The 26,150-nt window shown below is 41.2% G+C and overlaps 1 protein-coding gene across 23 annotated transcripts in view, besides 4 other annotated features; it reads left to right on the top strand.

Moving 5' to 3' along the window:
- ITSN2 (intersectin 2) overlaps nucleotides 7,487-26,150 on the top strand; it is a 158,505-nt gene continuing 139,841 nt past the window's right edge. For 15 of the 23 annotated variants that reach the window (NM_001348182.2, NM_019595.4, XM_024452933.2 and 12 more), the window contains exon 1: nucleotides 8,319-8,551. The gene's annotated coding sequence lies outside the window, so the exon portion shown is untranslated. Of the gene's footprint in view, nucleotides 8,069-8,318; nucleotides 9,017-26,150 lie in introns of those variants that run through there. The other 8 variants (XM_024452934.2, XM_024452931.2, XM_047444584.1 and 5 more) reach the window with 4 other exon arrangements.
- Nucleotides 7,886-8,035: an enhancer, noted in NCBI's record as "active region_15432". NCBI's record gives its function as "activates an Ori minimal core promoter by ATAC-STARR-seq in GM12878 lymphoblastoid cells {active_cell/tissue: GM12878}" and the evidence as "EXISTENCE:reporter gene assay evidence [ECO:0000049][PMID:35858748]".
- Nucleotides 8,136-8,435: a silencer, noted in NCBI's record as "silent region_11231". NCBI's record gives its function as "represses an Ori minimal core promoter by ATAC-STARR-seq in GM12878 lymphoblastoid cells {active_cell/tissue: GM12878}" and the evidence as "EXISTENCE:reporter gene assay evidence [ECO:0000049][PMID:35858748]".
- Nucleotides 8,446-8,495: a silencer, noted in NCBI's record as "silent region_11230". NCBI's record gives its function as "represses an Ori minimal core promoter by ATAC-STARR-seq in GM12878 lymphoblastoid cells {active_cell/tissue: GM12878}" and the evidence as "EXISTENCE:reporter gene assay evidence [ECO:0000049][PMID:35858748]".
- Nucleotides 8,506-8,905: a silencer, noted in NCBI's record as "silent region_11229". NCBI's record gives its function as "represses an Ori minimal core promoter by ATAC-STARR-seq in GM12878 lymphoblastoid cells {active_cell/tissue: GM12878}" and the evidence as "EXISTENCE:reporter gene assay evidence [ECO:0000049][PMID:35858748]".

Here is a 26,150-nt window from a genome sequence, read left to right as displayed (position 1 = left end):
ATACCACCACCAGCTTTTGTTTAAACAGGTCATACAAAGTAGTAATAGATAACTTCCACCAAAAAATGCTATTATTGCTTATATCTTAGAAAAAGAAGAAACTAGACAGAACTTGGAAAAGAACCACCTGACTATTCTCATCTGGTAGGAGAATCTTAAAAATCTCCTGAAGGACTCCAGAGAATTAATCTTGCTGAAATGTAGATGGCATTATCTTATGTCATAATATTTATTTTTTTCAGCATCCAGTGACATTTAGTGAACATTTAATGGAGCCAGGCACCATGTTACTATCTTGTTTACTCTAATATCCTCTTTGCTTAGCATAGTCTTAGGCATATGAAAGGCACACAATAAATATTTTTGATGAGCAAATGAATAACAAAAGATAAATAAGACTCAACCCATGTTTTCTGGTAAGCAGAGAATAAAACAATTTGTGTGATGAGACAATAACTAAATGATTTAAAAACAACCATCTTTTGAATATTTTATATAAAAAAATTATATGAATTGATAAAATAAGAATACCATAAAACATAAATAGTGTCTTAATCTGTGCAGGCTGATATAATAGAACGCCATAAACTGCATAGCTTATAAACAATAGAAACTTATTTCTCACAGTTCTGGAGCCTGGGAAATCCAAGACCATGGCACGAGTAAATTCAGTGTCTGGTGCTGGCCTACTTTCTGTTTCACAGATGATGCCTTCTAGCTGTGTCTTCACTTGGTGGAAGGGGCAGGTAGCTCCTTGGGGTCTCCTTTTTTTTTTTTTTTTTTGAGATGGAGTCTCGCTCTGTCATCAGGCTGGAGTGCAGTGGTGCAATCTCGGCTCACTGCAACCTCTGCCTCCGGAGTTCAACGACTCTCTTGCCTCAGCCTCCTGAGTAGCTGGGACTACAGGCATGTACCATCACGCCCGGTTAATTTTTTGTATTTTTTAGTAGAGACAGGGTTTCACCTTATTGGCCGGTCTCAAACTCCTGACCTCGTGATTGGCCTGCCTTGGCGAAATCTTGGCTCATTGCAACCTCCACCACCCAGGTTCAAGCGATTCTCCTGCCTCAGCCTCCCGAGTAGCTGGGACTACAGGTGTGTGCCACCACGCTCTGCTAATTTTCTGTATTTTTAGTAGAGATGGGTTTTCACCGTATTAGCCAGGATGGTCTCAATCTCCTGACCTCATGATCTGCCTGCCTTGGCCTCCCAAAGTGCTGAGGTTACAGGCATGAACCACTGCGCCTGGCCAAAATTACTTTTTTTTTTTTTTTTTTTGAGACAGAGTCTCACTCTGTTGCCTGGGCTGGAATCAGTAGCATGATCTTGGCTCACTGCAACCTCTGCCTCCCAGGTTCCAGCGATTCTCCTGCTTCAGCCTCCCAAGCAGTTAGGACTACAAGCACCCGCTGCCACGCTTGGCTAATTTTTGTATTTTTAGTAAAGATGGTGTTTCACAATATTAGTCAGGCTGGTCTTGAACTTCTGACCTTGTGATTCGCCCACCTGGGCCTCCCAAAGTGCTGGGCTTTTTTATTGATAAAATTAGTTATTTTCCTCTGTGAACTGTTCACATTCTCCATCTTCTATGGTGTCAATGTTGTGTCCCCCCAAAATTCACATGTTGAAATCCTAACCCTCTAGGTGATAGTATTAGGAGGTGAGGCCTTTGAGAGGTGATTAGATCACCTAATCACAAATAGGATGGGTGCCCTTTAAAAGAGACCCCAGGGAGGCCGGGCGCGGTGGCTCATGCCTGTAATCCCAGCACTTTGGGAGGCCAAGGCGGGTGGATCACGACGTCAAGAGATCGAGACGATCCTGGCCAACATGGTGAAACATCTCTACTAAAAATACAAAAATTAGCCGGGCATTGTGGCGGAGCCTGTAGTCCCAGCTACTTAGGGAGGCTGAGGCAGGAGAATCACTTGAACCTGGGAGGCAGATGTTGCAGTGAGCCGAGATCGCACCATTGCACTCCAGCCTGGGTGACAGAGTGAGACTCCGTCTCAAAAAAAAATAAAAATAAAAATAAAAATAAATAAATAAATAAATAAGGCTGGGTGCGGTGGCTCACGCCTGTAGTCCCAGCATTTTGGGAGGCTGAGGCAGGTGGGTCACCTGAGGTCAGGAGTTCAAGACCAGCCTGGCCAACGTGGCAAAACCCCGTCTCTACTAAAAAATATAAAAATTAGCCGGGCATGGTGGCAGGCGCCTGTAGTCCCAGCTACTTGGAAGGCTGAGGCAGGAAGAATTGCTTGAATCCAGGAGGTGGAGGTTGCAGTGAGCTGAGATTGAGCCACTGCACTCCAGCCTGGGCAACAGAGCGAGACTCTGTCTCAATAAATAAATAAATAAATAAATAAATAAATAAATAAAATAAAAATAAAAATAAACAAATAATTAAAAGCCAAAACTATCCTGTTGAGGAATGGCTTCTGAGGTTAATTCGCAAGCAGTGTACTTTTTGTTCTTTCTTGCTCTCCTTCATGGTTCTACTAAATTAAACATCCTTAAACTATAGGCACAAGAAAAGGAAGAAAACATATCCACTCTATACACGCAACACAAAAAGCAAAAACAGAAAAGGCAAATGGCACCGAGCACCCAAATCCTAATCTCTATCTGAGACCCAAGGCAGAAAACTCTCCTGATCTGGCCATTCCTCCCTAGGGCAGATAAGAATGTCAACCAGCTTGAGGATGCAGGGCCCCGCTTTGGGCAGTGATTTCATAGCTCTAGGTTTTAGATGTCCATCTTGTTTTCATGAGAGAAGTTAAGACAGGGCAAGTGTCAAGCATGTCATTTAAACAATCAAAATGTGGCCTCGCATTTGCCTGTGGTTTACCCTTGTAGATTGTTCCGTCCCCTGGCATTAGACCAAGGGCAGCTATTCCATTTCCACTTCCCTAGGGCCGGGGTAGGGGCAGTTAAGCAGTTATCTTTCTTAAATTTCATTGGCTTAAGGGCTGGGCATGGTGGCTCACGTCTGTAACCCCTGCACTTTGGGAGGCCACAGTGGGACATTTCATTGGCTCAAGACATTATCTGGGAGAAGAAAATGTCAATACTAGGAAAAAAAAAAAAAAAAAAAGCCTGGCCAGACTGGGCCAAGCAGTACAAAATGATCTGATCCATTGTATATTTTAAATTAAAAAACTGTTGCTATCTAAACCCAGAAGAGCATGGCCTATGTTTCTCTATTTAAATGAGGAAAAGAAAATCACAACTAGGCATAGGAAAATTCTCCAAACACAAGGCAAAAGCCTGATTTTACCTCTCTTTCTTCATACCAACCAAAGTGAGACAATCCCAAACAGCACTTTACCCTAATTCCCAGGATTGTTACAAGGATTAAATGAAATAACAAAAGTACTCTGCCAAGTGCAAAATGCTACATTAATATTAGTTACGTTATTATAAGAAGGGAACTGGTATCACTCCAGGTTTGTGCTGCAGACAGCAACGATGAAATAAGCAGACAGCTGGGCATATCTGCCAGACAGGAAACATTTCTGACTCTTGAACACAGATTGGATTCCCTTTCGCTGAGCTACACCTGCCAGACTGGAAGCCCCTGGTGCTTTGGTAATGAATGAACACGTCCTGTCCAGGGACTTTAGGGCCTCGCCCAGTCTGGCCTTTGACTCCACCCTGCAGTGCTGGCCTAGGCCCAAGTCTCGGCTAACTTCCCCCTTCAGTTTGCCTGGTACTGCCTTTCCGGTACCATCAGGCCTCAAGCCAGAGTCTCAAGTTATGCACAACATTAGTGGCCCAATAATGAGAACACTCCTTCCTTCCATGCCAGGGCTGGGAATTTCCCTTCTCTCCTCTTTCCCCTGAAGTCACTCCTATTTCCACTTCTCTGCTTTTCTTCTGCCCCGGACTCCAGAAGGAGATCTGTAAGGTCAAGAAGCTAAGAAAAGATCCAAGGACCAAATTTGTCCCATTGACCATTCTTGTGAATTGAGTCTCCACTGCTCCTCACCAGTGCTCATTCCTTGCGAAGTCCTTGTTTCTAGTGGCCAGAACATGGTAGGGTCTTTTAAAAATTATTAATTTAAAAAATATATAACTCATACCTACTGCTGTTCACGTGGAACTCTTCTCCACTTCTGCCTTCAAAATTCCCATCTGAATATTTGCTACGAATGTCAAGATCTGTGCCTGCATTGGCTCCACCCAGGCCTGTGCCCCAGGCTTCAAGTCTCAGGGCAGAGCATCTGCAGGGATGGGAACTTGGGGTTGGGGGTTGAAAAATGGGAAATGATGCCATCTGCTCAATCCCTTTCCTCTCCCTTCCTCTGCTCCTCCAGTGCCATCCATTTTCAGGGTTAGTTTGTTTGGCAGGTGGGAAATATTATCATAGGAAACTCGGATCCTCAGGAAAGAATGAAGAGTGCCCAAAATAATAAATATCTGGATAAATCAAGACTATTTTTGTTGCCTGTAACCTATTAATTTCTTTATAAATTATTTATTTAAAACTTGGCTCATGCCTGTAATCCTAGCACTTTGGGAGGCTGAGGTGGGTGGATCACCTGAGGTCAGGAGTTCAAGACCAGCCTGGCCAATATAGTGAGACCTTGTCTCTACTAAAAATACAAAAAATTAGCTGGGCTTGGTGGTGGGAGCCTGTAATCCCAGCTACTCAGGAGGATGAGGCAGGAGAATCGCTTGAACCTGGGAGGCGGAGGTTGCAGAGAGCTGAGATCGCGCCATTGCACTCCAGCCTAGGCAACAAGAGTGAAACTCCATCCTAAAAAAAACAAAACAAAAACAAATAAAAAACCCCCAAAGTTACAGCATTGTTTTGAAGGTAAAACTATAACATGAAATATGAGCTCCAGGTTCTCAGTCTTTCTACTCTATATGATAATGGTATTTATCTTATGGGATGCCTGGACTCTAGAACTGTTGCTTCTACCTATTCTATACTCTTCTTACACTGCAGGTTTGTTTTGGGGGTAAACATGGTAGAAATGGGGTACAGGATGGAATCTTTGAAAACTAACTTAAGGGGAGATTGATAGAACATAAGATACATATGGTTGAGGAGAAGGATCAATAATACATGGAAAAGAAAACAGATAGAGACTAAACGCTCCCAGGGTAAAAGCTAGGTCACCAGGAACAAGTCTAAGAATCTTGCCTAGACTGTGGCAGAACTAGAGGAAGAGAAATGTAACATGGTAGGACTTAGCTCCTCCAGGTATTTGATTTCCAGCTGGTGCCAGAAGTAAAGAAAAGATGCTGGGATTTGGAGAATACTAAGGAGGAAATGTATAGACACACTTCCAAGGCTGCCCTATGAGAAGAGGAAGTCAAGGAACTGGGATGGCGGCTGCATCATCTAAATGAATCATGAACACTGAAAGACACTAAGGATGATGAAGGTCCTGGGCGGAGAGTACTGGCTGCTCCATGTGCAGAAATTCTTGAGGAATATATTGAGTGCCCTGGAAGATGGTAAATGATAAGGATGAGGATAGAGGATGGGTGTAGCTAGTGTTATAAGCCTCATAGGAGAAGGGGCTTTTGCATGTGAGTGGAAAACTAGGATCTGGATGCAGTCGAGGAGCAAGGAAAATGTTTCTTCAGCCACTTCCAAGGTCTGTGCTTCCCTCCTGTATTCCATTCTTTATCTTGTTGAATAGAACTACCATTACCCAAAAACCCAAGAACCCTTTACTCCTTCTCATTCCTTATATCCAACCACCAAATGCTTAATATTGCCCAAATTTATCCCTGAATCACACAGGGTGGGAGGTATGTGTGAGAGAGAAGATAGATAACTGGAGGTGCTTGCATTTTGGGCTGTGATAGAGTAGGACAGGATGGACAAACTGGCCTCAAAGTTCTGAAGGGAACTCTGGGATACAGTTGTTTTAGTACTTGGGATACTGTAGGCATGCATTCAGGACCCTGATTTCCAGCAGAGGTTGTTAGTTTTTTGGTTTATTTTAGGGGGGCTTTAAATTTTTTTTTATTCCTTTATAAGCATCTCTTTCTACAAATTCCATTTTTGTCCTGCCAAGGATTTGGCACCTCCTTTAGAAGGAAAGGAGACTCAGGGTAAATTGCACCAGGTCTAGAACCCGAAAACACAAATGACATTGGTCAAAGGATGGGAGAAAAATGAAGACTAGCTATGTGCCTAACAGGAATAAAAAATAGGTTTTACCTCTCAGACCAACTCTCTGGAGCACTATGTTGTGAAGGATTCTGGGGCTTTGACTCTCAAATATGGGCTCCAAAAGAGCATATCAGTTAACTGGTGAAGGGTGCAATGGGAATGAGGCCACGTGCTCAAGATTGCTATCCTTGGCCTGGGTGGTTTGTTTGCAGATAAGGACAGATTGGCTGGTCCCCAGCAAGTGAGGGGCCTCCTAGACTGATAAAAGAGTCAGGCTTCTCTGTGTCACTGAAGCTCAGGACCTGTCTGTCAGGTCTTGGTCAGGTTCTAATCGAAGAGTTAGGAAAAACACTGAGTGTGAGAGCGGGAAAAGCCTGTTTATCATCATCGATGTTTGGTAAATTCCTCCTAAGCTGGCTGGCCAGTTCAGATAGGCCTGGGTTTGGAGCCATCTCACCTTCACCTGCCTCAACAGGTAAGGAATGAAAGGATGCCAGGGGTTATTTGATCTACACAGATCAAATCAAGGGATATGAGTTTTGGACCCCAGACCAGCCCTCACCCTGCTTCTAAAAGCCAAAATAAATCTTGGGTCTTGGCCGGGCGTGGTGGCTCACGCCAATCCCAGCACTTTGGGAGGATGAGGCGGGTGGATCACCTGAGGTCAGGAGTTTGAGACCAGCCTGGCCAACATGGTGAAACCAGTGTCTACTAAAAATACAAAAATTAGCCGGGCGTGGTGGCAAGTGCCTGTAATCCCAGGTACTTGGAAGGCTGAGGCAGGAGAATTGCTTGAACCTGGGAGGCGGAGGTTGCAGTGAGCACAGATCTCACAGTTGCGCCACTGCACTCCAGCCTGGGCAACGGAGTGAGAGTCTGTCTCAGGAAAAAAAAAAAAAAAAAAAAAAAAAAAAAAAGAAATCTTGGGTCTTATATCCAAAAATCTTGAGTCTTACATTTGGTTACTTTTTTTTTTTTGAGACAGAGTTTCGCTCTTGTCGCCCAGGCTGGAGTACAGTGGTGCAATCTCTGCTCACTGCAACCTCCGCCTCCCAGGTTCAAGCGATTCTCCTGCCTCAGCCTTCCGAGTAGCTGGGACTACAGGCGCCCGCCACCACGCCCAGCTAATTTTTGTATTGTTAGAAGAGGCGGGGTTTCACCATGTTGGCCAGGCTGGTCTCCAACTCCTGACCTCAGATGATCCACCTGCCTCGGCCTCCCAAAGTGCCGGGGTTACAAGCGTGAGCCACTGTGCCAGGCCGACATTTGGTTACGTTCATTAGGAAACACTAACTCCTCCCTCACCCCAATCAAAAGAAAGCCTTTCCCCTTGAAGAAGCTTCTTGTCAAGGGCAAACCTTTGGGGTTTTGGGATACGGTGGCGGCTTGAGTTGAAGTCTGGTCTTTTGTGAGGAGACCAGGAACCGGGAGGGGAGAAAAGAGACAAATTCTGAGTAGGAGCTTCGCCTGTCCCTTGGCGAGGGGTGGGGAGGAAAGTTTAGCTTCGTCGTGCTATGCTCTATGGGGACAGAGTCTTCCTACTGCTCGGCGGAGTGTGACTAGCGTAGAGGGTGCTCCTCGTGGGCGCTCCGCGTGTGTTATGGAGGAGGGCGAGGAATGGTGAATGGATGACCGAGGGTATGGTTAAGTCCTCCAGGTCCCTGAGAAGGGTTCAAGAGGCCTGTAACAGACCCATGGGCAAGGGTGGGATCAACCTCCTTCCCACCTTCCACCCCCCAATTCCCAGAGAATTCGTTCCCCCAGATCAGTGGAGAAAACTTCGGCGAGTGAGAAGGTTCCAGGGAGAACCCCGTGGTGGGTGCAACAGGGATGTGGCAGGCACTGCTTGGGACTTTCCAAAACCCCGGCGTCTGCCGTGGCAGGAAAAGCACCACCCAAGCTCAGCATGTTACCTCGGGGAGGAGGAGCCAGGTGGGTCTGTGCAACTCCAGGAAGGGCTGCCAGGTCTGGGGCTTCGGGGCCTCCCCGAGGGCAGAGAGGAGCGCTTCGGACCCGACCGACTCGGAGCAGACCTTCAGGGTTCAATGCCCCGGAACTCCTGGGGCGAGGAGCCACGCCCGGGCAGTTTCGGGCTCCGGAGGGTGGGGAGTCGGTGCCCGGCAGCGGGCGGGCCGTCAGCTGCCCGGCCCGGCGCCTACCTCCCCGCCCCCCGGCTTCCTGCGGAGGCCGCGGCCGCCATGTTGTTGTGGGGCTGAGGCGGCGCCGGCGGAGCCCTGAGCGGCTGTGACAGGCTACGCAACAGGTTCGCGGGCGGCGGCCTGACGACCAAGCCAGCTGCAGTGGCGGCGACGGCGGCAGAGCAGGGTCTCCCCGCGCCTGCCCGCGCCCAGGCTGCCGGTGCTGAGGGACGCGGAGTCGCGCTGTGACGAGCGGGAGGCGCGGCGAGGGCGCCAGGTGGGTGAAGCCGCTAGCGGGGCTGCAGCAAGGCGCGGGGCAGGTGCGGGCGCCGCGCCCGCTGCCCGGAGGCTCTGCGGGTCGGGCTGAGGCGGCTGTGCGCTCCGCACGATGGGGACGGGTCCTCGGGAGTACGGGCGGCCCCCGAGCTAGGCCCCTGGCGGGCTCGGCCGTGCGGGGCGGAAACCTCCGGCCCCGGGTTCCTTCCTCTGCTGCCGGGCCGGGACAGACGCCGAGGGGGCCTGGGCTGGGCTGCCCCTTCCTTGCGGCCGAGCCCGGGTCCCTGGCCGCGGCCTCGTCTGGCAGGTGGCGGACGCCGGCGAGGGTCGGGGGTGGCGTGGCCCCCTCGCTTTCGGGGTGTGAGCAGAAGAGAGCTCTGGGGGCACCCGCACGCCTCCTCGGGGACCCATTTTATTTTCGCGGAGTTGGTTTTCCTTCCTGGCAAGGGTTGGTGCCGAATGTCAGGTGAGCCGCATCCCGGTGCGTCAAAGTAGCCCGAGTCACGAGAGGACAGTGGGCGGATGCTTGGCGTCTACCGCTCGCGTTCCTCCGGAGTTGGAAATGTTAAATTTACCTTCAGCGTTATTGACTTCCAGAATATACAGGAAGCACCGAGAGATGTAATCTCTCAGGCCAGATAAAGTTTATTTGTGTATTTATTTATTTATTTTTAAAGACGTCTGCATATGCATAGTGAGTGGGTAAACCGAGGCTGAAACTGCAGATGGCTTTGTATTCTATAGAAAGATGCTCCGTTTGGATTTATTAATTATGCGCCTTGTCGCTCTAGAATTACCAATGGCAAGTGTGCTTTATTTGAAACTTGTGTTAATACTGAAATAGGAATATTTTTTGATGGAGCCAACCCCTTTACGATAGGAATTAAGGTTAGCATAGAAATGACTTGCTTTGCTCCATGCTTCTAGTTTGTCTCACTAGTGTTTGCTTGCTTACTCAGAAATAGGCAAGGTGTGACTTGAAATTTTACGTTGTTAGTGAGCTCAGTTTAGGTAGCATAGCTCTTGTAGTTTAAAGCTTCTTAAGCGTTTCGAAAAATTGCCTCTCTCCCTGTGCTGGTTTGCTATATTGTTAATCAGTGATAAAACCTAAAAGCTACCTAGAAACATCGCATAAAACATTTACGCGAATTAATAATGACGTCCTTCCAAATTTAAAGATACTGACAACTCTGATGTGTTTTCCTTTAGCTTTTTTTGGCTGTGCCTGTGACTCTCTTGTAATTTCAAAAGTAAATAAAGTGGATGTATTTTATGTTTTTGAAAACGTGGAAAAAATGTGCATTGCTGCTATTTTGATGTAATATTAATAAGCAGTTGAAAAGCTTGCATTTTTTCACCCTTCCATGCATTGATAACTATTCCCTGTGCCCACCTTTGTAATGAAAGGTAAACTCGTCCAAGAAAACTTGACCTGTACAGAATTACTAAGCAGGGAGTTACCATTGTTCGGTACATCTCAAGGCTAAAATCTTGATCTCTCCTGAATATGAGGAGGTGTGTTAGGCATGTTTTGGGGATTGGATTAATAGTGTTAAAAAATTTGTATTTTCACAAAAATAGCATGTACCCATCACCCAAACTCAGCAGCTTTCAAGAAGCTTTTCTTTTTTTCTTTCTTATTTTAAAAAATCCTTTAACCTTATGTAGTTAGTATATCTTTTTTAAAAAGTAGAAAATCATGTAACCTTAGGATTTTTAGTTTTAATGTAGAGTTTCACAAATTTCCATCTTTAGTAAGACAAAAGGGTCACATATTGGCTGTCTCCTTCAACTATACTTTCTTCAGTATAAAATATGTTTACCATGGTTGTCATTTATCGAGCACGTAACTGCATGTTAGACTCTATGCTAAGTGTTTTACATAATCATTTAAAGCTCACTAAGGCCCTAGGAGTAATTATTATCTTCCCATCAAAAAGGTAAGTGAAATGTTAACCTGAAGTTTGACTACTTTAGGTCTCTGAGCTAGTAAGTACAATAGCCAGGTTTCAAACCAAGATCCTTTTAACTGCAGCACCTGTGCCTTATCTGGTAGAGTCATCTTGGTTCATACATTTAAAAAAGAGTTATCTATGTGCCGGGTGCCCTGGCTCATGCCTGTAATCCCAGCACTTTGGGAGGCCGAGGAGGGCGGATCACCAGGTCAGGAGTTTGAGACTGACCAATAAGGTGAAATCCTGTCTCTACTAAAAAATACAAAAAATTAGCCTGGCATGGTGGCGTGCGCCTGTAGTCCCAGGTACTCAGGAGGCTGAGGCAGGAGAATCGTTGAACCCGGGAGGCGGAGGTTGCAGTGAACCGAGATCGCACCACTGCACTCCAGCCTAGGCGACAGAGTGAGACTCCGTCTCAAACAAAAAAAAGAAAAAAAAAGTTATATGGGCATTCAGTAAAAAATATGTGTTTAGTGAATGAGTGAAAGTACATATTAGTCCATTAAGTAGCATTTTTACATATTGTATTTACTTGTAAAACATTTATATTAACAAGTTCCAGAAATGATTCAGAATAAACGAGTTACATTACCAAAAATGTGATATATTTATTACCATCTAACGGTGCATTTTCTTTTTCTTTTTTTGGATTCAAGTTTTTTTAGTACCTTTTTTATTTATGGAAAAAATTTGTGAAAAAACTGTTTTTGAAGAAAGGCAGACTTTCTTGTGTGCCGATTTTTTTTTATTTCTTACAAAAAAAACAGGATATATGTGCAGAACGTACAGGTTTGTTACATAGGTATACGTGCACCGTGGTGGTTTGCTGCACCTATTCACCCGTCCTCTAAGTCCCCTTCCCTCATTGCCCCCCCACAACAGGTCCTGGTGTGTGTTGTTCCCCTCTGTGTCCATGTGTTCTCAATGTTCAACTCCCACTTATGAGTGAGAACATAGGGTGTTTGATTTTCTGTTCCTGTGTTAGTTTGCTGAGGATGATGGCTTCCAGTTTCGTCCATGTCCCTGCAAAGGACATGATCTCATTCCTTTTTATGGCTGCATAGTATTCCATGGTGTATGTATATCACATTTTCTTTATCCAGTCTATCATTGACGGGCATTTGGGTTGGTTTGGTGTCTTTGCTATTGTAAATAGTGCTGTAGTAAACATACGTGTGCATGTGTCTTTAGAGTAGAATGATTTCTATTCCTTTGGGTATATACCCATTAATGAGATTGCTGGGTCAAATGATATTTCTGGTTCTAGATCCTTGAGGAATTGCCATACTATCTTCCACTATGGTTGAACCAATTTACATTCCCAGCAACAGTGTAAAAGCGTTCCATTTCGCCACAGACTTGCCAGCATCTATTGTTTTCCTGACTTTTTAATAATCACCATTCTGACTGGCATGAAATGGTATCTCATTGTGTTTTTTTTTTTTTGAGACGGAGTCTCACTCTTGTTGCCCAGTCTGGAGTGCAATGGCGCGATCCCAACTCACTGCAACCTCCGCCTCCTGGGTTCAAGTGATTCTTCTGCCTCAGCCTCCTGAGTAGCTGGGATTACAGACGCCTGCCACCACGCCCTGCCAATTTTTGTCTTTTTAGTAGAGACATGTTGGCCAGGCTGGTCTAGAACTCCCAACCTCAGATGAGCCACCCGCCTTGGCCTCCCAAAGTGCTGGGATTACAGGCTTGAGCCACTGCACCCGGCCATCATTGTGGTTTTGATTTGCAGTTCTCTGATGATCAGTGATGTTGAGCCTTTTTTCATGTTTGTTGGCCTCAAAAATGTCTTCTTTTGAGAAGTGTCTATTCATATCCTTTGCCCACTTTTTGGTGGGGTTTTTTTTTTCTTGTAGATATGTTTAAGTTCCTTGTAAATTCTGGATATTAGACCTTTGTCAGATGGATAGATTGCAAAAATTTTCTCCCGTTCTGTGGGTTGCCTGTTCACTCTGATGATAGTTTCTTTTTTTCTTTCTTTTTTTTTTTTTTTTTGAGACAGGGTCTTGCTCTGTCTCCCAGGCTGGAGTGCCGTGGTGCCATCTTGGCTCACCACAATCTCTGCCTACCAGGTTCACCTCCCAAGTAGCTGGGATTATAGGCATGTGCCACCACGTCCAGCTATTTTTTTTTTTTTTGAGATGGAGTCTCGCTCTTGTCCCCCAGGCTGGAGTGCAATGGTGCGATCTTGGCTCACTGCAACCTCAGCCTCCGGGGTTCAAGTGTGATTCTCCTGCCTCAGCCTCCTGAGTAGCTGGGATTACAGGCGCCTGCCACCATGCCCAGCTAATTTTTGTATTTTTAGTAGAGATGGGGTTTCACCATGTCCAGGCTGGTCTCAAATTCCTGACCTCAGGTGATCCACCCGCCTCGGCCTCCCAAAGTGCTGGGATTACAGATGTGAGCCACTATGCCTGGCCTTTTTGTAATTTTTTAAAAATAGAGACAGGGTTTCACCATGCAGGCCAGGCTGGTCTGGAATTCCTGACCTCAGGTGATCCTCCCACCTCGGCCTCCTATAGTGCTGGGATTATAGGCATGAGCCACTGCACCCAGCCTGATGATAGTTTCTTTTGCTGTGCAGAAGCTCTTTAGTTTAATTAGATCCTATTTGTCAATTTTGGCTTTTGTTGCAATTGCTTTTGGCATTTTTGTCATGAAGTCTTTGCCCATGCCTATGTCCTGAATGGTATTGCCTAGGTTTTCTTCTAGGGTTTTATGGTTTTGGATTTTATATTTAAGTCTTTAATTCATCTCAAGTTAATTTTTGTATAAGGTGTAAGGAAGTGGTCCAGTTTCAGTTTTCTGCATATGGCTAGCCAATTTTCCCAGCACCATTTACAGAATAGGAGATCCTTTCCCCATTGCTTGTTTTTGTCTTGTTTGTTGAAGATCAGATGGTTGTAGATGTGTGGTGTTATTTCTGAGGTCTCTGTTCTGCTCCATTGGCTTATATGTCTGTTTTGGTACCAGTGCCATGCTGTTTTGGTTACTGTGTGCTGATTTTAAAGACAGGATTCCAAGTGTGAAGTAGAAAAATAAGAATGTTTATAATTAATTCTGTAAGTGGATAGATCTAAAGTTGAAGGTACATCAGAAATACTGTATTTTTTACTTGAGTTCATTTTTTGGATTTTGTAACATCCTACAGCTGTGGAGCGCAGAAACTAATGTTAGAGTTCTCTTGGGTAAAGTGTGAATATAGGTATTCTTGAGGAGGAGGAACTGAACTGGTCTTAAAGGATATGAGAGCAAAGAGGAAGTGGGAGAGGAAGGGAGGAAACTGAACAGAATTAGGACAGTTAATAGATCAAGAAATATGTATTTTCACAGCTCCAAGAGGGCAGCATATTTCATTTGCAGAATGTATAGTATTGTTTCAAAAGGTTCACTTAAAATATAATTTCATAGATACATCAGGACATTAAATGATTTATTTACTTGTGGAGCTATTCAGCAGTGGATTATGGCAGACATTTAGTGGATTAGGGGACTATTACCAGACGGTAAACATTTGTTTTATTTAACTGTTTCATATTTTTAAGATCATTTTCTTCACGAATGCGTATTCATTTTAGATAAAGTATATGTGATTTTAATAAAAATTTCATTTATTTTCATCATAACCATAGAGGATAAGAGTACAGCCTCTGAAGTTAGACCTGCTTCCAGCTCTGACACCAAATAACTGTATAATCTTGGGCAAGTTACTTTAATTCTCTTCAGCTTCTGTTTCCTTATGTGTGAAATGGGGAAATATTAGCTAGTTCCTAGTGTTGTTATATGTAATATAAAGTGCTTAGCACAGTGACTTCTGCTTAGTGTAAGTGCCTAATGTTACCTGTTGTTTTAACTTGGTTCAGTGAGAAATTTCAAACTAACCTAACATAGTTCTTATTTTGGTCTTTGTTTTACACCGTGACTGGAAAGGAAATTAGCCTTTTGCCCTTAATTTTTAATCTTACCATCGGAATAATCTATATAAGAAGGCTGAAAAGTAGGGTAGTACAGACCCACAATCCCACTGGGCTCAATTTCCAAATTTGTTTTTAACATTCTCAAGGGGCCTATGAAAATGTTTAGTGAAGCCTTCTTTAAAGTGTGGTTTATCTTGGGCCAGCCCCACAGTTGGTGATGGCCTTGGGCCTGAGACCCTTCCAGGATGGGCCTGGTGATGGTATCAGTGATAATGAGGTAACCATGATAACATGTAACAACTTGTAGTGTAGGGCTTGGCACTTAGTAAATATTGATGATTGATGGCTGCTGTTTTAATTTTCATAATAAATATGCACATTTATATCAAAATGTAAGTTTTAAATTGTAAGAACATAAGCAGTTTCCATGTTATTATGTGGTCTAACTGAACTTGATCACAAAATAGCTTTATTGAGATTTAATTCACATATCATATGAATTTGATTTTAAGTGGAAGCATGATACTTGGCTTAGTATATTCCTTTATTTTTGGACATTCATTTTTAGTTTTTTTCAATGATTACTAATGCTGCCATATCTTTGTAATTAAAGCATTTCCCACATTTACTGTTATTTCCTTATGACAGATTCCCAGAAATGAAATTATTGCTTTATAGGATATGAATGTTGGTGGGACTCTTGATATATGTTTTCACAGTGCCTTCTGAAGAGTGATACCAATACGTATTCCCATGGGCTGTACCTGCAAGCACCCTATTTAATTCACCTTTGCTAGCCCTGGGTATTGGCCAGTGTTTTGTTTTGTTTTGTCTTTGAGACAGGGTCTGGCTCTGTTGCCCAGGCTGGAGTGCAGTGGCGGGATCTCAGCTCACTGCCATCTCAGCTCACTGCAACCTCCTTCTCCTGGGCTCAAGCCATCCTCCCACCTCAGCCTCCCGCTGGGACCAACTAATTTTTTTGTAGTTTTTATTGAGGCAGGTTTACACCATGTTTCCCAGGCTGGCCTCAAACTCCTGAGTTCAGACGATTCGCCCCCACTCAGCCTCCCAAAGTGCTGGGATTACAGGCATGAGCCACTGTGGGTAGCCTCGTTTTCTTAATTATTAGTGATGTTAACATTTATTAACTACTTTTATTTCTTCTGTTTCTTCTTTCGTAGATTATTTATTTGAGGTCTTAGTGTTTTCGTTATCTATTTTAATAGCCCTATGTACATTAAAAATATCAACTGCTTATCATGTGTTGTGATTTTTCCCCATTTACCTTTTAAGTTTGTTTTCAAGGAAGTTTTAAATATTTGTTATATAGATGATATAGAATCTGCTTATTCTTTCTTTTGTTTTCTTGTATGGCTTCAAAACTTAAAAGTTGTCTTTGTTTCAAAGAGGTGATGTTTTACTTGAAAGTGAAGCATCTGTCTGAATTTCTTTCCCTCTGTACTTTTTATTCATGTCAAGTAAATAGTTTTGCTGTAATATTTAGTTCTGATATGAGACAGATGACAATAGGCTAAATATTATCAGTCCCCCTGGGACCCCTTATAGGAATGCAGGCTGAGTCACAAGCTATTCTTAGGTATTTTTATCCCCCTTTGTGTGGGTGAATTGTCTTGTTCAGAGTTGTTGACTATTCTTCAAAAATTGGTTTGATTTAAATCTTCAATAGAATTTGAGTACTAACCACTTCAGTATTAGTTTGCTATTCCTGTCCTTTTATGTCTCCTGGCTTATTGGTTGATTTTTTTGAAGGCTAAACTCAATATTTATAAAAATCTGAGCTTATAATTTGTGTTTAAAAATCTAAACTGAGGTTGCTAAATTGCAGAACTAGAATTAAGAACTAAGTTTGTATAGAGAAGTTATCCTCTTTGAGGCTTTTAGGTCTTAATGCTTTGTATATTTGGGACCCTAAGCCTCTAGATAGAAATGATAACTTTTTTCTCAAATATTGATTAAAGTGAGAAAAACATGTCCTTTTATTAATAATTGGCACAACTCTAATTTGTTTCAGTAAAACAAATTAGATTAGTGATTAGTGATTGTGATTACAACTAAAAGTTGATTAGTGATTATAATTAAAATAATGTTGAAATAATTGTTGTAATAATCATAATTTATGGACACCTTCTATGTGCCAGATGTTTTCCAGACATGACATCTAAGCCTTAAAATAACCTGGCATTTAGGTACGATTACAGTAGTACTTTGCTTGTCTGCAAGGAATACATTCCAAAACCCCTAGTGGTTGCTTGAAACCATGGATGGTACAGAAACCTATATACACTATGTTTTTTCCTATATATACATACCTATGATAAAGTTTAATTTATAAATTAGGCACAGTAAGAGATTAATAATAATAAAATTGAACAATTATAACAATATACTGTTAACAATTTCACAGATATAAGACTTGTTCTTACTGTAGATCTTAGCAACCTCAGCATACAATTTTTTCCCTTCTATATTAAGTTGAGAACTTTCACCTTTTCACTTGAAGGAAGTGGCTTCTCCTTGGCATATCCGAATTGCCAGCCTCACTACTCTTGCACTTTGGGGTCATTATTAAGTAAAATAAGGGTTACTTGAACACAAGCACTGTGATACTGTGACAGTCGGTCTGATAACTGAGACAGCTACTAAGTGACTAATGGGCAGGCAGCATAGACACAGTGGATACACCCTGGACAAAGGGATGGTTTTCATCCTGGTTGGGACAGATGCGGGCAATGCAGGATTTTACCATGCTACTCAGGATGGTGCACAATTAAAAATTTATGAATTGTTTATTTCTGGAATTATCCATTTTGTATTTTGAGACCATGGTTGACCACAGGTAACTGAAACTTCAGAAAGTGAAACTGCAGATAAGGGGGTCTACTGTATCCACATTATTTGGTTAGGAAATTGAAGCTATGTCATGTGCAAGTCCACAAAGCTAGGAAGTACTTGCACTGGGATTCAAACTCAAGTTGCTGGGTTTGTCTTCTGTGCAGTTGAAAGAATGCTAACCTGTGCTTATTAAAGAATATTTTAGTGCCTACCATGTGAGTGACTGCTGGGCACTAGGTATATGAAGTTAAAGAGCCATTCAGGAGCTCACAGTCTAATAGAAGCGGGGCAGGCGTGAAAACAAAAGTAACAATACTAGCTGGTATGTAGTTTAATGAGATAATACAAGACAAAATGGGACTGTGGCAAAGGAAGCTATTATTAGTAGAAGTGTCACTCAGAAGGCAGGTAGTTCCACAGGTGCAAAGAGAGGAGGCATGGGAATAAGATCAAGTGGAGGTGGAGGTGGGGAGGTTGAAATACCTGGTAGGGTAGGCGGAAGATAGAGCCTAAAACACCTTGTATGTCACGTGAATAGATTTTTTAAAAACAGCTTTATTGAGATACATATTGTAAAATTCACCCTTTTAAAGTTTACAGTTCAGTGTTTTTTAGTATATTCACAGACTTGTGCAACCAGTATCACTATCTAATTTTAGAACATTTTCGTCGTTCTTAAAAGAACCTCCTATACCCAATGGCAGTCACTTTCCATCTCCCTCAACACCGCTAGCTCTAGGTAGCCACTAGTCTACTTTCTGTGTCTATGAAATTGCCTATCCTAGACATTTCATATAAATGGAATTATACAATATATGGTCTTTTGTGACTCACTTCTTTTACTTACCATAGTGTTTTCAAGATTCATCAATGTTATAGCATAGATCAGTACTTCATTCCTTTTTATGGCCAAATAATATTTTATGGATTATATGGATATACCACATTTTGTTTATTGTTTATTCATTCATCCATCTGTAGTTGATGGACATTTGCTTCCACTCGGTTGCTTCTACTTTTTGGCTATTGTGAATAATGCTGCTGTGAGCATTTGTGTACAGGTTTTGGGACATGTTTTTATTTATCTTGGGTTCATACTGAGGGGTGGAATTGCTGACTTAACATGGTAACCTATGTTTAACATTTTGAGGAAATTCTGAATTGTTTTCCAAAGCAGTTGATCTATTTTATATTCCCACCAGCAATGTATGTGGGTTCCAGTTTAGGAGGTTAATTTTATACTATTGGTGAGCCATTACTCAGAATCACAGTGGAAAAATTGTTGAAAATTATTGGCTTAGATTAATGCTTCCTCAGTATGGTCCAAGACACTCACTAGATCAGAAGCTTTTCCTAATGGATCATGAACCAGAAATACAAGCCGTCTCCTCAGTTCTCAGGGGCTATTGTTATTCCATTCCCATAACCTCTGATATTTATGTATTAGAATAGGCTACCTACCAATAATCTGAGTTACTAAGGATTACTGAAATTTAGTATTCACAACTAAAATTAGCTGGTTTCTAGAACTTACCGAGGGCTCTAGTTTAGTTTTCTTCTAAGAAATCTGTCAGCTATACCATGCTTTGGCAGCACTAGAAAATTAGTACTATGCATGCCCACACTCAGAAGATATTTTCACTACATCAGTGGTGTTGTCTCAAATTGGCTGTGGTTCCAGTTGCTGTTATTTTTGGATTAATACAATTGTAGAATTAATGTTACATTTAAATTTTTGTGGACCGTTTTGCTCTTGTGTACTTGTTACATTGCTACAATTCTTCCTTAGGGAGTTATTTTTGCACTAGAAAATGGGAGGAGGTAGGTAGGCTGGATCTCTTGTCTTACTTAGGTGGGTGATGGTTAGAATAGTTTGGGAATGAGGCTGCTGCTCGGCCTATGGAGTAGCCATTCTTTTATTCCTTTAAAAAAATAGTTTGGGAATGAGTGGATTACATAATTGGAAGGGTCTTTCCCACTTCATTATCTTTTTTTAAGAATGAGGGTTTGTGTATGTTATCATTAAACATTTAAGCTATGGAACACATGAACTGTCTGAAAGTCTACAGTTGGCTTTGGATGTGTGAAACCTTCAGAATTATGTGCCATATTTTGTACATTTGTGTTTTTCCAGGGAGAACAACCATAGGTTTTATCAGATTAAAATAAAAAAGTCTATGACCACTCAAATTAAATAATTCAGGTTGATGAAAAGAATTTGTAAATTTGTGGTTTGAAATATTTGGGGGAAGTGAGACCTTGCTTTGGTTAGGTGGTGTTGTGAGTGAAGGATGTTTTCTGGGTATGCTATTGGTTTTAGTGTAACAAATTCCATGTTACAATATCTCTATTTTATTTTTTCCTGGTAATTTTTTTCCCTGTTAGATTTTGGAGTTTGCTTTAAAAAAATTCTCATTGCATATTGATGATGATGATAATGATGATGATGATGATGATTATTGTTGTTGTAGAGACAGAATCTCACTATGTTGCTCAGACTGGTCTCAAACTCCTGAGCTCAAGCTGTCATCCTGCCTTGGCCTCCAGCAGTGCTGGGATTACAGGGGTGAGCCACTGCAACTGGCCCACATTTATTATTATTTTATGTTTGCTTTCTTGGATGATTCTTTTGATATTATATTCAAAAGTGCTATTTTTTTTGCAGCGATAGTATACTTTATTTGTAGTAATTGAAGTATATTGGTAATTTTTTAAAAAACTTCAAATTGGCTTGATAGCATAGGAAAATGGACGAATGCTTTTCTGCCCGTTAGCTGCTACTTTGAATTTCTTTACTCTTTTATTCTGTTAGCCTTTTGGTTGAGATGTGAAACTACCAATCACAGATAAAAGTTATTCCCATGCAGGCCCTTATGGGGTATGGCATCAGCTTAGATGCCAGGCTCTGTCTGCCCCTGCAATAGGGTGTGTTTGTTGTAGTGTACTTTTCCTCTGTAGTTTTTAGCACTGGATGTAGCATGACTGGATTTGAGATGAAATGGTAATTTCAGTTAAATGCTTTTAGTAAAAGAGACTTGTTATTTATTATTGTTTATAATAGACTGAAAAATAGACAAGGGCTGCCGGGTGCTGTGGCTCATGCCTGTAATCCTAGCACTTTGGGAAGCTGAGGCGGGTGGATCACTTGAGGTCAGGAGTTCGAGACCAGCCTGGCCAACATGGTGAAACTTTGTCTCTACTAAAATGTCTCTACAAAAAGTACAAAAAATTAGTTGGGCATGGTGGCAGGCACCTGTAATCCCAGCTACTTGGGAGGCTGAGGCAGGAGAATCGCTTGAACCCAGAAGGTGGAGGTTGCAGTGAGCTGATATCGCGCCACTGCACTCCAGCTTGGGCAAAAAAAAAAAAAAAAAAAAAAATCATAGTATTTGAAAAACTAGTTGTAAGTTTACCATAGCCTTCTCTTTACTGAAGAGTAAGATCTTTACTGAGATCTTAGTATTTGTTTTTCACTTTTAATTTTTATTTATTTTTATAGATATAGGGTCTCACTGTTGTCCAGCTGGAGTTCAGTCTCATGTTCATAGCTCACTGTAATCTCGAACTCTTGGGTTCAAGTGATCCTCCCACCTCAGTTTCCTGAGTAGCTAGGACTATAGATGCACACCACCCATCACACCCAGCTAATTTTAAAATTATTGGTAGAGATGGGGTCTCACTATGTTCCTAGGCTGGTCTTGAACTCCCAGCCTCGAATGATTCTCCCGCGTTGGCCTCCCAAAAGCGCTAGGATTACAAACATTAGCCACCGTGTTTAGCCTTATCTGTTTTTAATTGTTTAACATTTTGGTATATGTGGTTCATGTAAGATTAAAAAAAAAAGAAAACCCAAATTTACATTCATATTCTACAATTTTTTTTTTGAGATGACATTTCGCTCTTATTGCTCAGGGTGGAGTGCAATGGTGCGATCTCAGCTCACCGCAACCTACGCCTTCTGGGTTCAAGCGATTTTCCTGCCTCAGCCTACCGAGTAGCTGGGATTACAGGCATGTGCCACCACGCATGGCTAATTTTGTATTTTTAGCAGGGACGGGGTTTCTCCATGTTGGTCAGGCTGGTCTCGAACTCCCGACCTCAGGTGATCCACCTGCTTCAGCCTCCCAAAGGGCTGGGATTACGGGCGTGAGCCCCAGTGCCTGGCCTACAATTTGTATTTTTTTTTTAATTACATTATATAATAAACATATCCTATCTCCTATAGCCTTGAAATTGTCATTTGTAATAGGTAAATAATATTCTGAGTGAATGTAACTTTAATTTTTTGCTTCTTTCTCTATTTTTGGATAAATTAGCTTATTTGTATTTTTTCTAATATTGGTAAAACTGTACTATGCATCCTTGCAATCTATTTTTGTTCTTTAGATATTTTCTTAAGATAAATTTCTGCTGGTTGCGGTGGCTCACGCCTGTAATCCTAGCACTTTGGGAGGCTGAGGTCGGCAGATCACAAGGTCAGGAGTTCAAGACCAGCCTGGCCAATATGGTGAAACCCTGTCTCTACTAGTACAAAAAAAATTAGCTGGGCGTGGTGGCGGGTGCCTGTAGTAGCAGCTACTCGGGAGGCTGAGGTAGGAGAATCACTTGAAACCGGGAGGTGGAGGTCGCAGTGAGCCGAGATCATGCCACTGCACTCCAGCCTAGGTGACAGAGCGAGACTCCATCTCAAAAAAAAAAAAAAAAAAAAAAGATAAATTTCCATGTGGATCAAGTGGGTATTTTGTTTTTAATGAATGTGGTCAAAATTAGAGGCACATATTTACCTATACTCTTCTACTTCTGAGGTATTTGCTTTTTATAAAATTGATAGGCTTATTTTTTAAACAGTTTTAAATTTACAGAAAAATGGAGCGAGTAGAACAGAGTTCCCATATATCCCTTCATGTACCCCACACATAGTTTCCACTATTATTAATATCTTATATCAGTATGGTACATATGTTAGGAATAATGAACAATACTGATTGTATTATGATTAACTGAAGTCTATGCATTATTTCAGTTTCCTTAGTTTTTATTTAATATCCTTGTTCTGTTCCAGGTCACCACATTACATTTAGCTGTCATGTCTCCTTAGGCTCCTCTTAGTTGTGACAGTTCCTTAGACTTTCCTTGTTTTTGATGACTTTGACAGTTTTGAGAGGTTACTGGACAGATATTGTAGGAGATATATAAATATATTGTAAGTATATTGGAATTTGATGATTTGTCATGCTTGGACTAAGTTAGTGAATTTTTAGGAGGAAGATGACAAAGGCAAAATGATACTTTCATCTTATCAAGAGCACATACTGTCTGCATGCTTTATGACTGTTGATGTTGACCTTGACCAGCTGGCTAAAGTAGTGTTTGTCAAGTTTTTCCTCTCTACAGTTAATCCCCCACCCTCCTTTCTGTGCTATACTCTACGTAGCCTTCTGCCTTTCCATCTTTGTGGGCTGGGATACAGTCTTAGAGGTCATAGAGATAAGAAGGGTAGACACTGCTAGACATCGCAAGTGGTGGTGGTAGAAGGGTAGCGCAAACAATTTGGACTCATATCCATTTCTTCACTCCAAAATAAAATCCACGTAGATCAAATATATACATAAAACCCTTAAATCATAGAGGTACTAGAATAAAATATAGGACAATTTTCTGGTATAAGACCTGGTATGAGACAGGCCTTTCTTTGTATGACAAGACACTCACTAGTCATAAAAGAAAGACCAACAAATTTAAATTGGTATAATGAAAGATGCCCTAAAATTAAAAGACAAACAAGCTAGATTAAAAGCATTTATAGCATATGTTACAGGTAAAAGCTTACTATTAATATAATATCTATTATTGTAATGCATAGAAAAAGATCCGTGGATACAGGTCATGTTGTTAACAGCACTGGGTATTTTCAGAGACTGATGGGGAAGGATGGTCAAAAGAATTGGCTTTATTTGTATGTTTTAAGTTTTTACAATGAGAGTATTAATGTATTATGTGTCTATTAAAAAATAAATTTTGATCTACCCATCCTGTTGAATATTATGTAGAATCGAATGTGGTATTTCTGATGGGTATTATCTTAGAAGAAGGTTTAGACAATGTAAAATACATATGGGTATATATACGTTTATATAATATGTAAAAATAGGCTGTGAGAATGTACTTCAGTGGCTGATATGGTTATCTTGGAGATGGTACTGTGAGTGAGGTAATAAAGAATGACTGTCATGTTTTGCTCTTCATAATTGTACATTATTTGAAGCCTTTGCTTTTAAATTATTTGTACAGTAAAAATAAAAACATAGGGGAAAAAAGGCTGAAATGGGGGAAATCTGAGCTCTCACATATAAAGATCCTATAGAACCACACTATCCCATACAGTAGCCTTTAATATGTGGTTAATCAGCACTTGAAATGTGGCTAGTTCTATATTGAGAAGTACTCTAAGTGTATAATAAGTGTAAAAGCTGGAGTTTGAAGACAGTACAAAAATGTAAAATGTCATAAGAATTTTTATACTGATCATATGTTGAGGTGATAATATTTAGATATGAACTAATTAAAATATATTAATACAGATTTTACCCGTTTATTTTTACTTTTTATTTATTTTTTTGAAATGTAGTCTCACTCTATTATCCAGGCTGGAATGCACTGGCGCAATCTGGGCTCACTGCAACCTCTGCCTCTCAGATTCAAGCGATTGTCCTGCCTTAGCTTCCTGCGTAGCTGAGATTACAGGTGCCCGCCACCACGCCCAGCTAATTTTTATATTTTTAGTAGAGATGGAGTTTTACCATGTTGGACAGGCTGGTCTTGAACTCCTGACCTCAGGTGATCCACCTGCCTCAGCTTCCCAAAGTGCTGGGATTACAGGCGTGAGCCACTGCACCTGGCCTAATTTTACTTTTTAAAATGTGGCTACTAGAACATTTAAAATTACATTATGTAGTTTGTGTTGCATTTCCATTGAACAGCATGCTATAGAAAATGGGCAAAATAAATGAATAGGCAATTCATAGGAGAAATATACATGATAGATATATGAAAAATGCTGAGTTCCCTAATGATCAGAGAAATGAAAATTTAGAAAAAATTTGCCTCTCAGGTTGGCAATACATAAAATAATTGTTCATACCAAATATTGGCAAGATTATACAGAAACAAGTATGTTTACACACCAATGGGAATATAAAATGGTACTATTAATAAATTTTGGAAAGCAACTTGATACCCATTAATTCTACTTCTAGAAGTATTGTCCTACCTAAATACTCAGTATATATATGAGGATGAGGATGTTCAAAGTAGTATGGTTTGTTAGGCAAAAAACTGGAAACCGTCTTAATGTCCACCAGTGGAAGATAGCTTAATTTCTGGTATATCCATATAATAAAATGCTGTACACCTATTTAAAAGGATATGATTGATGTATTATATATTGCTATGGAAGGATATCTGTAATATGTGTAATGAAAATAATAGAATATTAATTGGCTAGCATAATTTTATTTGGGTTTGAAAAATAACATGTTTGTTTATATATGCATAAAATAAATCTGGAAAAACAAATACCAAACTGTTAACTGTGGTAATCAGGACTGGGTCTTCAGGTTCACCCCTCCTCCCCTGTCTGTGGAGTCCGCTTAGTAAGTTTTTCATGTTTGAGATTTTTGTGGAGCATGTGCTTATAAATTACATTTATTTGGAGAGGAAAGCTTAGTTAAGGGAAATAATGTTTGTGGAAAATTGCTTAGAGGAAATGGAGTATATTACTGGTATAGGTACTCTAAAATGTCTTTTGAATTAAGTCAGAGTTAGAGGGTTGTGTCTCTAAACCGCATCTTATTGGTATTATGCTATCAGCCTGTATTGAGAGACTTTATAGGTAAAGTCCAATTTAGGCTGTTTGGTATTATCTATTAAAATTAGAATGTTCATGCTCTCTAACCTGCTACTTCCACTTCTAGAATTTATCTTTGGAAGCACATATCTGTCCACAGACCTATATTTACACACATGTATGAAGAATGTTTATTGTAGCATTAATTGTAACATTTGTTAAAATGAACATGAAGGGAAACATTCTAGGCAGTGGTTACAGTACAAGCAAAAGCAGAGTAACTAGTGTGGTCTGGAAAAATAGAAGATTACTTATTCACTGTGAAAAATTGGTAACATGAAAAAAGCAGAACAATGAAGTATGACTTCATTTGTGTAAAAGTGGTATTTGCTAGTGTATAAATAGGAAATATCTGGAACAATCTATTCAAAACTGCTAATGATTGTTTTCTTGGTAATGGACTTTCACTTTCTATTATATATATATTTTTTAATGTTTAATTTTTCAGGTTGTTTTAAGGATCTTATGCTAATTGACATTTGTATCAGCTAGGCATTAACATTGTACTTATTTTTGTATCTATTGTTATGGTTCCTTGCATTGTTGTTAGCCTTTCACTTTTTTTTTTTTTTTTGAGATGGGGTCTCACTCTGTTACTCAGGCTGGAGTACAGTGGCACGATCTTGACTCACTGCAACCCCCATCTTACAGACTCAAGCAGTCCTCCCTCCTCAGCCTCCTGAGTACTTGGGACCACAGGCACATGCCACCTCGCCTGGCTGATTTTTTTTATTTTTGGTAGAGAGGGGTTTCACTGTGTTGCCCAGGCTGGTCTTGAACTCCTGAGCTCAAGGTGATCCACTTGCCTCGGCCTCCCAAGTGCTAGGATTACAGGCATGAGCCACTGTGCCAGGCCAGCCCTTCACTATTTCATGTGAGTAAGTAATCTTCTATTTTTCCAGACCACACTAGTTACTCTGCTTTTGCAGAGTAACCTCTGCCTAGAATGTTTTCCTTCAC

The sequence above is a fragment of the Homo sapiens genome, chromosome 2, assembly GCF_000001405.40.
Source record: "Homo sapiens chromosome 2, GRCh38.p14 Primary Assembly".
Lineage (NCBI taxonomy): Eukaryota > Metazoa > Chordata > Mammalia > Primates > Hominidae > Homo > Homo sapiens.
This window is presented reverse-complemented; position numbering and strand designations above follow the sequence as displayed.